Source organism: Homo sapiens, chromosome 6 (genome assembly GCF_000001405.40).
Source record: "Homo sapiens chromosome 6, GRCh38.p14 Primary Assembly".
NCBI lineage: Eukaryota > Metazoa > Chordata > Mammalia > Primates > Hominidae > Homo > Homo sapiens.
The window spans coordinates 148,326,764-148,338,913 of record NC_000006.12 but is presented as its reverse complement, the minus strand read 5'-3'; the positions used below and the strand labels follow the sequence as shown (position 1 = coordinate 148,338,913).

The window sequence follows — 12,150 nt, the reverse complement described above, 5'->3', positions numbered from 1 at the left end:
CCTGCCTCATCCTCCCAAGTAGCTGGGACTACAGGAGCCTGCCACCACGCCCGGCTAATTTTTGGATTTTTAGTAGAAATGGGGTTTCACCATGTTGGCCAGGCTGGCCTCAAACTCCTGACCTCAGGTGATCCACCTGCCTCGGCCTCCCAAAGTGCTGGGATTACAGAGATGAGCCAAGGCTCCTGGCCCTTCAGGGGCTTTTTAACAAAGTTGTCCTTTCCTTATAAAGAAATCACCATCATCATCATCATCACAACTTCAGAGTCATATAGGATATCATTTACCAAGAACGTTTTATATTAGAATTCTACCTCATGGAAATGGAAAAGGGCCTCGAAAAAGATCTAGGTCAAATCCTTCATTTTACAGATGAGGAAGTAGGCTCCAGAGAACTTGAATGATAAGTCCAAGTGAACACAGCTACATGGGGCAGAATCAAAGTAAGAACAAACTGATTTATATTATCATCTTTTTTTTTTTTTTTGAGATGGAGTCTCACTCTGTTGCCCAGGATGTAGTGCAGTGGCGTGATCTTGGCTCACTGTAACCTCTGTCTCCTGGGTTCAAGTGATTCTTGTGCCTCAGTCTCCCCAGTAGCTAGGATTACAGGCACGTGCCACCATGCCAGGCTAATTTTTGTATTTTTAGTAGAGACGGGATTTCACCATGTTGGCCAGGCTGGTCTCGAACTCCTGACCGAGTTCGAGTGATCCGCCCACCTTGGCCTCCCAAAGTGGTGGGATTACAGGCGTGAGCCACTGCACCAGACCCAAACTGATTATTTTAAAAGTCTTTTCATCTGTATCATACTCCATTTGATTCCCACAAAGTTCTTCAAGGCAGGGAAGTGTAGATATTCCATTGAAGATGGGTATACCGGAATCCTACTCCCCTTTTTCTCTTACCATCAGGAATCTCATCCAACTCATTGAAATCGTCCTTCTGTGGGTGAGTGAATTCCAAGGAAAGTGACGTAGAAGATTTTTCTAGACTTCTAGTAGAGATGCAAAAGTTGATTACAGAATCAATTCTGTGGCTCATAATAAACATTTGTTGTCACAAATGAGTGAAAACTATCACCATAATGCATTCATTAAGAATGTTGATAATTTAGCAATCTCTGTTATTTATTGGAAATTAGTCTCCATCATATTGTTGCACAGATAAGTGTACAACACATATATACATATACACACGTATGTACAGATAAATGTTTACACTGGCTTGCTTTGTAAAAACTTGTTCTTAGGGCCAGGCACAGTGGCTCACGTCTGTAATCCCGGCACTTTGAGAGGCCCAGGCAGGCGGATCACCTGAGCTCAGGAGTTCAAGACCAGTCTGGCCAACATGGTGAAACCTCGTCTCTATAAAAAATACAGAAATTAAGGGCCAGGCATGGTGGCTCACGCCTGTAATCCCACCACTTTGGGAGGCCGAGGTGGGCGGATCACGAGGTCAGGAGATCGAGACCATCCTGGCTAACGTGGTGAAACCCCATCTCTACTAAAAATACAAAAAAATTTGCCAGGCGTGGTGGCGGGCGCCTGTAGTCCCAGCTATTTGGGAGGCTGAAGCAGGAGAATGGCATGAACCTGGGAGGCGGAGCTTGCAGTGAGCCGAGATTGCGTCATTGCACTGCAGCCTGGGTGACAGAACGAGACTCCATCTCAAAAAAAAAAAAAAAAAATTAGCTGGATGTAGTGGTGGGCACCTGTGGTCCCAGCTATGGGAGGCTGAGGCTGGAGGATCACTTTAGCCCGAGAGGCGGAGGTTGCAGTGAGCCGAGATTGCACCATTGCACTGCAGCCTGGCAACAGAGCGAGACTCTGTCCCAAACAAAACAAAACAAAAACTTGTTCTTAACTGTGGGCCAGAATTACAAAAGTTTAAAAGCCATTAGTCTACAAGTTGTGGGGTATTTAGAGTATAGGTACAGCCTATTTAGGTCATTATGTCAACATACGAAATGTAATTAGTTTTCCGCTGGGCAGGGTTAAAGTAAGGTAAAATAGAGATCAGGCCTGCAGAATCCCTGCGAAGACAAAACCACTTAGTGAACTCAACCTTTCTTGATTTGCAAACCTAAGGAAAACTTAACTTGAGCTAACTCTTACAAATGCCTGTATTACAGAAAAACAGAACTTAAGCTCAACCAATCAGAGGTAGCCAACAAACTTTCATAATTAGGAACTTTCATAGGAGATCAATCAAATAAGGCAATTGTGTAATTATATCCAATCAAATGTTTGCTTTGCTTTACCTCTGTTTCTGTCTTATAAAGGCCTCCCCATAGATTCCCTTGGTGGAGTTCCTGAACCACTTCTGGTTTAGAGCTGTCAAGTCCATGAAATGTTGTTTGCTCAAATAAACTCTATTAAAATGTTTATTGTGCCCCCATTTACCTCTTTAGCAGCAGTAAAGATACAGTTTCAGGGCCGGGCATGGTGGCTCACGCCTGTAATCCCAGCACTTTGGGAGGCTGAGGCGGGCGGATCACCTGAGGTCGGGAGTTTGAGACCAGCCTGGCCAACATGGTAAAACCCCGTTTCTACTAAAAATACAAAAAAATTTAATGGGCGTGGAGGCAGGCACCTGTAATCCCAGCTACTCGGGAGGCTGAGGCAGGAGAATCTCTTGAACCAGGTAGGTAGAGCTCGCAGTGAGCCGAGATCTTGCCACTGCACTCCAGCCTGGGTGAGACTCTGTCTCAAAAAAAAAAAAAAAAAAAAAAAAAGGATGCAGTTTCATAATAGAAAGCACAAATGTAATGAGGTCAAGACAAAGCTAGGTTTTCCATTTTTACTCAAGTTCCTATATTGGGCCAGTTGTTTATCTTATCTGTGAAATGGGAAAATTCCACTTATTTGATACAGTTGTGAGGTTATCTGTGATGACACAGGCACCTTGATAAATTATAATTCATCATTATAACCTTTCTCTTTTTACCCTCTTTTTGTTTTTCCTTCCCCTACCACTCATCCAATGAGGCTGTATCTATAAATAGGAAATTTCCTTGTTCATACCTACGTCTCTGTGATCATGAAGAGGAGTCAACTCTAGCTCTGGAATGCCGTTGCTGAGTAATGGAGCTGGGAGTTTACCTCGGGTGGGGCGGGGTGATTAGGATGCTTCAGTTTTCATAGTAAAGGTATTAACAGCAGCAGTAACCATCGCTGTCATCATTTATGGAAAACCTACTCTCTGCCAGGCATTGAGCTGAGGTTCAGATGTATTTCAGTGAAACTTTCACATTCCTCAAATGGAATTTATGATTTCCTACCATGATCCAACCCTCCCTCCCTGCTCCTTTCTTGCTTCAGTTTTCGGATATATCCATTCATTTATTCAAACTACCAACTTCATCCTTCCCTTCCCTCACCATCTCTGTGATCCAAACCACAGATAAGCCCTGCTGATTTGAATTCTTTTTTTTTTTTTTTTTTTTTGAGACAGAGTCTCACGCTGTTGCCCAGGCTGGAGTGCAATGGCGCGATCTCGGCTCACTGCAACCTCCACCTCCCGGGTTCAAGCAATTCCCCTGCCTCAGCCTCCTGAGTAGCAGGAATTACAGGTGACCCCTACCATGCCCGGCTAATTTTTTTTTTTTTTTCCTGAGACAGAGTCTGGCTCTGTTGCCCAAGCTGGAGTGCAGTGGTGCGATCTCAGCTCACTGCAACCTCTGCTTCCCGGGTTCAAATGATTCTCCTGCCTCAGCCTCGCAAGTAGCTAGGATTACAGGCACATGCCACCACACCTGGCTAATGTTTGTATTTTTAGTACAGACAGGGTTTCACCATGTTGGCCAGGCTGGTCTCAAACTCCCGACCTCAGGTGATCCACCTGCCTCGGCCTCCCATAGTGCTGGGATTACAAGTGTGAGCCACCACGCCCGGCCTCAAATTCTTTTTTTCTTTTCTTTTCTTTTTTTTTTTTTTTTGAGATGGAGTCTCACTCTGTTGCCCAGGCTGGAGTGCAGTGGTGTGATCTCGGCTCACTGCAACTCTGCCTCCCGGGTTCAAGTGATTCTCCCTACCTCAGCCTCCCGAGTAGCTGGAATTACAGGTTCCCGCTACCATACCTGGCTAATTTTTTTTTCCCTGAGATGGAGTGTTGCTCTGTTGCCCAGGCTGGAGTGCAGTGGTGCGATCTCGGCTCACTGCAACCTCTGCTTCCTGGGTTCAAGTGATTCTCCTGCCTCAGCCTCCCCAGTAGCTAGGATTACACGCGCGTGCCACCACACCTGGCTAATTTTTGTATTTTTAGTAGAGATGGGGTTTCACCATGTTGGCCAGGCTGGTCTCGAAGTCCTGACCTCAGGTGATCCGCCTGCCTCGGCCTCCCAAAGTGCTGCGATTACAGGTGTGAGCCACTGCACCCGGCCTCGAATTCTTAAATTAGGCCAAAGTCATCCACTTCCCTTCACCTCCATTACCATCACTGGAGACCACACTGCTATTATCTCTTTTTTTTTTTTTTTTTTTTTGAGACGGAGTCTCGCTCTGTGGCCCAGGCGGGAGTGCAGTGGCGCAATCTCGGCTCACTGCAAGCTCCGCCTCCCGGGTTCACGCCATTCTCCTGCCTCAGCCTCCCGAGTAGCTGGGACTACAGGCGCCCGCCATCACGCCCGGCTAATTTTTTTTTTGTATTTTTAGTAGAGACAGGGTTTCACCGTGTTAGCCAGGATGGTCTCGATCTCCTGACCTCGTGATCCACCCGCCTCGGCCTCCCAAAGTGCTGGGATTACAAGCGTGAGCCAGCCGCGCCCGGCCTGCTATTATCTCTTAAAATATTTTATTGCAGATGGCTCACACCTGTAATCCCAGCACTTTGGGAGGCCGAGGCAGGCGGATCACGAGGTCAGCAGATCGAGACCATCCTGGCTAACACGGTGAACCCCCGTCTCTACTAAAAATACAAAAAATTAGCCAGTCGTGGTGGTGGGCTCCTATAGTCCCAGCTACTTGAGAGGTTGAGGCAGGAGAATTGCTTGAACCCAAGAGGCAGAGCTTGCAGTGAGCTGAGATCACGCCACTGCAGTCCAGCCTGGGCGACACAGCGTGACTGTGTCTAAAAAAGAAGGATATTTTATCTAGCTGGGCGCAGTGGCAGATCACCTGAGGTCGGGAATTTGAGACCAGCCTGACCAACATGGAGAAACCCCATCTCTACTAAAAATACAAAATTAGTCAGGTGTGGTGGCGCATGCCTGTAATCCCAGCTACTCAGGAGGCTGAGGCAGGAGAATCGCTTAAACCCGGCAGGCAGAGGTTGTGGTGAGCCGAGATCGCGCCATTGCACTCCAGCCTGGGCGACAGAGTAAGACTCCATCTCAACAACAACAACAGCGACAACGATATTTTATCTAGAGCAGTGCTTCTCAAAGTACATGCCCACAACTCAATCATTAGCATCACCAAGGAATTTGTTACAAATGCAAATTTCCCGGCCCCACCTCAAGCCTTCTACTGAGTCACTCTGGGAGTGGTACCACCAATTTGTTTTTTGATTTTTTGTTTGTTTCAGAAAGGGTCTCCCTCTGTCACCCAGTCTGGAGTGCAGTGGCTTGAACACCTGGGCTCAAGGGATCCTCCCACCTTAGGCTCCCAAGTAGCTGGAACTACAGGCATGCACCACCATGCCTGGCTAATTTTATTATTATTATTATTATTTTTTGTAGACACAGAGTCTCCCTATGTTGCCCAGGCTGGTCTCGAACTCCTTGGGCTAAAGCAAGCAATCTGTTTTTTAACAAGTTCCCCAGAGGATAGTGACTAGTGCTCAAATTTGAAAGCCCCTGCAGACTATAGGTATGTCAGAGTAAGGAAGAGGAGCTGAGGAAATGTGAAGTTTTAAAATAGAATACAGTGTATTAAAAAATCTATACCAGCAGATTGTTTTTATTTTTATTTCTTCATGTATTTTTTGAGAAGGAGTCTCGCTCTGTTGCCTAGCCTGGAGTGCAGTGCCACAATCTCGGCTCACTGCAACCTCCACCTCCCGGGTTCAAGGGATTCTCCTGCCTCAGTGTCTTAAGTAGTTGGGATTACAGGTGCACGCCACCAAGCCCAGCTAATTTTTTGTATTTTTAGTAGAGATGGGGTTTTACCATGTTGGTCTGGCTGGTCTCGAACTCCTGACCTCGGTGATCCGCCCGCCTCAGCCTCCCAAAGCGCTGGAATTACATGCATGAGCCACCGCACCCGGCCAGTAGATTATTTTTAAAAACTCACTGGCAAAATAACTAACTTACCATGAGACAAGTGAATGAAGAAATCAGGTATTTGGAGATATTTGGTTGTATCCTTTTTTTTTTTTAAAGCTCTGTTGGATTTGAGATACTTGGTTTTAAAGGGCAGACGATTAAATATTGAAATTAAAATGCATTCTCCCTTAGAATAGCATATGTTTTAGGAACACAGATTCATTTAAATACTTGTTATTTGTTACAGACGACAACAACACATTTTCTGCTTATAGCAGAGATTAAATCTGAAAGATTATAAATAGTCCAATTTATTTTTTACCATAGTTCCTGCTGCTGAAATTGAGCAATGAAAGTATATAAGCTCATTTAATTTTTGCCTACAGTCAGCAATCCTTTCTGGCACTCCTACATGGGGCATTCCACAATGCCTTGGGGGAACTGACTTCAAGGAAAGACTGATAGGTTAAAACATTTTCCCCATCACAAATCCACACCATTTTTTTTTTCCCCCACAAATGCCTTACAGGTGAGCCAAACCCATGCTAAAGCATTACCTGTTAAAAAGCCCTTCATCAGGGAGTGTTTGGTGAAAGAAGTGGGAGAAGAGCTAAGAGCAAACTAAAGAGAAATTAAAACAAAGTGCAGACAGCAGAACAGGCTAGGGAGAGAAGGGAAATAAACAAAGTGAGGCTGCAGGGATGTAAATCCTTTTCTCTGGGCTGGGTAGGGCAGGGGGGAACACACCTGTAATCCCAGCACTTTGGGAGGCTGAGGCAGAAGGATCACTTGAGCCTGGGAGTTCCAGACCAGCCTGGGCAACAAAGTGAGGTCCCGTCTCTACAAAAAATTAACCAGGCACTATAGCATGTCCCTGTAGTCCTAGCTACTGGGGAGGCTGAGGTGGGAGGATCACCTGAGCCTGAGAGGTCAAGGCTGCAATGAGCCATGATTGTACCACTGCAGTTCAAGTTGGGTCACAAAGCAGAAAATTTTTCTCTGAAATGTTTTATTCTACTCTGATAGGCAATAGCCAGTTAGGTTTTCATCTGTGTTGATGCTGTGTAAAGACCAAGTTCTGGCTGGGTGCGGTGGCTGACACCTGTAATCCTAGCACTTTGGGAGGCTGAGGTGGGCGGATCACGAGGTCAGGAGTTAGAGACCAGCCTGGCCAACATGATGAAACCCTGTCTCTACTGAAAATACAAAAACTTAGCGGGGCATGGTAGCAGGAACCTGTAATCCCAGCCACTTGGGAGGCTGAGGCAGGAGAATCACTTGAACCCGGGAGGCAGAGGTTGCAGTGAGCCAAGACCGTGCCATTGCACCCCAGCCTGGGTGACAGAGTGAGACTCCAGTCTCAAACAAACAAACAAACAAAAACACAAGTTCTGCCTGGGAATTATTCCATCAATAATATCACAACAGGTATTTATTTTATTATACACAGCGGGTTCAGACTAGATTTCTAAAGCCACTTGTAATTCTGAACTATGAAGATTCGGAAAAATTTGGTAACACATTATAGACAAGAAGCAAATTTCTGGCAAGATCTATACAGATGCCCATGAGGATCAAAAAAGTGGGCTATGTGAATTGCATCCCATACTGTTTAAGGCAGGAACCAAGAGACTTCAACTCACCATTGAGTTACTTCTGAATTAAGATGAGAACAGCCTCTCCTACAGAGAACCGTAAGATTATATGAAAGCCACCCGACACTTAGGAGAAGAAAAAAAGGAAACACTGAGGGAAATGATCTTTAGAATCACACTTCCTGCTATTTCTCTTTTTTGCTTAGGAGATACAAAAAATAAAAAAGGGGCCAGGCACGGTAGCTCACACCTGTAATCCCAGCACTTTGGGAGGCCGAGGCTGGCAGATCACCTGAGGTCAGGAGTTCGAGACCAGCCTGGCCAACATGGCGAAACCCCATCTCTGCTAAAAATAAAAAAATTAGCCGGTCGTGGTGGCAGGCGCCTCTAATCCTAGCTACTTGGGAGGGTGAGGCAGGAGAATCGCTTGAACTGGGGAAGTGGAGGTTGCAGTGAGCAGAGATCGTGCCATTGCACTCCAGCCTGGGCGACAAGAGGGAAACTCCATCTCAGAAAAAATAAAAAAGTAAAAATAAAAAGGAATGTGTTAATAAGAGACCAGAGATTGTTAACTGTTTCCAAGTTATGTAAGAAAAGACTTAAAAGTGCAGCTGGGAAGTATCCATCAACCAAATTGATTTATCAATCTTGTCTTCTAATAAACTTTACCCTATGAGAATGTCCACTTGGCTGTCTCTCTTGCTCTTAAACATGGTTATGGAAAATATTTTTTTCCAATAAATTTTAAAGCTCCAGTTAAAACTCTTGCTCTGCTTCTTTGAGGTGCCATCGTGTTATGTGCATAGAACAAAAGATTCTCACTCACGTAATTAATCCCAGGAAACAGAGGATCATTACAGTCTTATCCAGAGTTGATGTATGCTTGCACAATACTTTGGGTGAACAACAACACCACACGTATGATTAATGACATTTGCATGAGTATTTTTAAAAAAGGCAGTGAGCTGAATATAACATTCTGGGAAAAGTATGTGTTGAGTCATTATAAAGCAAAGTTCGATATCCTTTTTTACTACTCATTTTTTAAGTCACAGATCTACCAGATAATTACTTGAGGAAGACCCATGAGTGCCAGATGCATGGTGGAGCCCTGAGGTTAACCCTGTTTGTGTCTGTTCTCTGTCTTTCATGGAAATGCCAACATTTTTGTATTAGAGTAGCATGATTTTTATACTAGTAAAATTCATCTGCCAGCCCTTACAAAGAGACACTCCCATTCCTGTTCCTGAAAAAAAAAGAAAGAAAACTCAACTTTTCCCTCAGCTGTAAAATTCCATTGTTTCAGAATCTCAGAAACATATATCTTTCTTCTCACGCCATCTAACTCTTCTCCTTACCAAATATAGTAAGTCATAGGGACTCGCCCCTGTTGTTGAAGGCCATGTTCCTCTCTAGAGTACTTTCCTTCTAATTGCATTTTTTGTGACACACACGGATGCACAGACACACACACATACACACTCACACACACAAAGGCTTAGTTATCTCAGTTCTTCTGAGCTGTCTTATACAATTGAAGATATAAATAAATGAACTCTATGAAGAAATCATCAAAAGAGGTGGCACTGTGGCAATGTCTTCAATGAGTTTCTCACATATGGAGAGAGAAGCTTCAAGTGACAGGACATTGGGGTCATGGTTATTTCTTTAAATAGTGCCTTGGTCTAGCTTAGTGAAACAATTCCCTGTTAAGGGAAGTACATAGCATGCTCTGCTCCTATGGCTAGTGCTGGCCTGAATGAGGTTTGAAATCTAAAAGACATATTAATATGGGTGAGCAGGCACCAGATTTTCTGCACCATTTCCCTCTCAATGAACACAATTCTTTTTTAAAGGGATTGTCTAGGCATAATTTTTTTCCTATGCCTTATAAATGAAACAACTAGGTGCTAGCTATCTAATGAATGTTCTCAAAAATCAGATGATGTTGATTCCAATAGCAAAGAGACACTTAACAAAGAAGCCTTGTTCTAGAAATGAGGTCATTTGGACAGTCTATCCATTAAGAAAAAGCCTATTTTGCTTTCAGAGGTCACCTATTGGGGCAGGAAATCCATCTTTCAGCCAGTGAACTAACATCTGGCCTAAGTCTTCTAAGCTGAAATGTCAATTTCCTGATCTGAATGGAACACACATGAAAGGAAGAAGATGAAAAATACAGATCCTCATGTGCTAAAGAATTCTTCAGCAGCAGCACAGATAAAGATTCTCCAAAAAAGAGCTACTTTTTAGTGATCAAAACCAACAAAAATAGTAAAATGCTTGTATGAAATATTTTCTTCTGTAATAATGTAAAGATAAATGACAGCAAGGGGACAAATCAATCATTCACTGGTAAATCAAAAAATAAATCTACTTTAATTTAGACCAACTAATCACAATTTATGGTGGTTTATCCCAGGCTGGGTAAGTTTTACTTCTGTGCTGAGAAATGGGAGCAGGAGCAAGCTTACTAGGTGCAAAAGTAATCACAGGTCTTGCCACTATTTTTTTTTTTTTTGAGATGGAGTCTTGCTCTGTCACCCAGGCTGGAGTGCAGTGGCAAGATCTTGACTCACTGCAAACTCCACCTCCCGGGTTCAAGCAATTCTCCTGCCTCAGCCTCCTGAGTATCTGGGATTACAGGTGCCCACCACTGCGCCTGGCTAATTTTTGTATTTTTAGTAGAGATGGGGTTTCACCATGTTAGCCAGGCCGGTCTCGAACTCCTGACCTTGTGATCTGCCTGCCTCTGCCAAAGTGCTGGGATTACAGGCGTGAGCCACCGCGCCCGGCCTCACTATTTTTAACTAATAATTAAATTACTAGGATATAACTTGAAGAGAACTGAGAAGGTCTTTAACCTACATAAGAAAGTAATTTTTAAAAGCTGTTTAAAAGTACCATAAAATAGCCAGGCACAGCACGCCTGTAGTCCCAACTACTTGGGAGGTTAAGGCTGGAGAATCACTCGAGGCCAACCGTTCAAGGCTGCAGTGTGCTCTAATCGCATGTGTGAGTAGTCACCGCACTTCAGCCTAGGCAACAAAGTGAGACCCCATCCCTTAAACGAAAAACTGCCATAAAACACTTCACGTATAATTCTCTAATTTGCCACTCAGTTTACTTTTTGTGTTCTTTTTTCTTTTTCTTTTTCTTTTTTTTTTTTTTTTTAGACAGAGTCTTGCTCTGTCACCCAGGCTGGAGTGCAGTGGTGCGACCTTGGCTCACTGCAAACTCCACCTCCTGGGTTCAAGTGATTCTCCTGTTTCAGCCTCCAGAGTAGCTGGGATTATAGGCATGTGCCACCACCTCCAGCTAATTTTTGTATTTTTAGTAGAGACGGGGTTTTGCCATGTTGGCCAGGCTGGTCTCGAACTCCTGACCTCAGGTGATCTGCCCACCTCAGCCTCCCAAAGTGTTGGGATTACAGGCGTGAGCCACTGCACCTGGCCACTTTTTGTGTGCTTTAAACATATTCCATAATTTTGACTAATCTTTCTTCTACCAGTGTACATTATAGAAATTTCTGGCCGGGCGCAGTGGCTCACGCCTGTAATCCCAGAACTTTGGGAGGCCAAGGCGGGTGGATCACAAGGTCAGGAGTTCGAGACCAGCCTGGCTAAGATGGTGAAACCCCGTCTCTACTAAAAATAAAAAAATTAGCCGGGCGTGGTGGCAGGCGCCTATGGTCCCAGCTACTTGGGAGGCTGAGGCAGGAGAATTCCTTGAACCTCGGAGGCGGAGGTTGCAGTGAGCCGAGATCGTGCTACTGCACTCTAGCCTGGGCGACAGAGCGAGACTCCATCTCAAAAAAAAAAAAAAAGAAATTTATATTGTATGTGTCATTCATTCATTCATTCATTCATTCGTCCGTTCGTTCCTCCATGTAACAAATACTGATTGAGGACCAATTATGTCTCACATGTGCCAGGTCTGGAGTTCAGGATCACTTAGTCTAGTAAAGGAGATAGAAAAGTAAATAATAGGCATACATACCCCATAAAGAGGTGCTCAGAGGAGAGAATGGCCAATATTGGTGAGGAGCAAGAATTGTTCATGAAGGGGTTGAACCCCTTACAAAGGGATTGAGGAGCACAAGATTCACCAGCCAGTAGGGGAAGTAAAAGGAAAGATTTTCAAGGCAAAAGGAAAAGTCTGGAGATGTTAAAGATTGTAAAGTCCTAGTGTGGAGGGCAGGATGTGACGGTGGAGGTAGGAAGCAGTAATGAGTATGGCCCCATATGCCAAGCTCGGAGGGCGGATTTTATTATGTATGCCTCATTTAGTGGCATGCATTGCTCTAACTTCACCCTCTTTTATCCTTCAAGCAAGGAAAGCTGAGTAGTA

The 12,150-nt window shown here is 44.4% G+C and overlaps 1 protein-coding gene across 5 annotated transcripts in view, besides 2 other annotated features; it reads right to left on the bottom strand.

Annotated features, from left to right (window-relative positions):
* The window catches only part of SASH1 (SAM and SH3 domain containing 1), a 358,577-nt gene that overhangs the window by 213,131 nt on the left and 133,296 nt on the right, over positions 1–12,150 (bottom strand). The window lies entirely within an intron of this gene.
* Positions 3,405–4,394: an enhancer, noted in NCBI's record as "H3K27ac-H3K4me1 hESC enhancer chr6:148655656-148656645 (GRCh37/hg19 assembly coordinates)". NCBI's record gives its function as "activates a minimal SCP1, AML or CMV promoter by ChIP-STARR-seq in naive and primed H9 embryonic stem cells {active_cell/tissue: H9 hESC(naive and primed)}" and the evidence as "EXISTENCE:reporter gene assay evidence [ECO:0000049][PMID:30033119]".
* Positions 6,377–7,368: an enhancer, noted in NCBI's record as "H3K27ac hESC enhancer chr6:148652682-148653673 (GRCh37/hg19 assembly coordinates)". NCBI's record gives its function as "activates a minimal SCP1, AML or CMV promoter by ChIP-STARR-seq in primed H9 embryonic stem cells {active_cell/tissue: H9 hESC(primed)}" and the evidence as "EXISTENCE:reporter gene assay evidence [ECO:0000049][PMID:30033119]".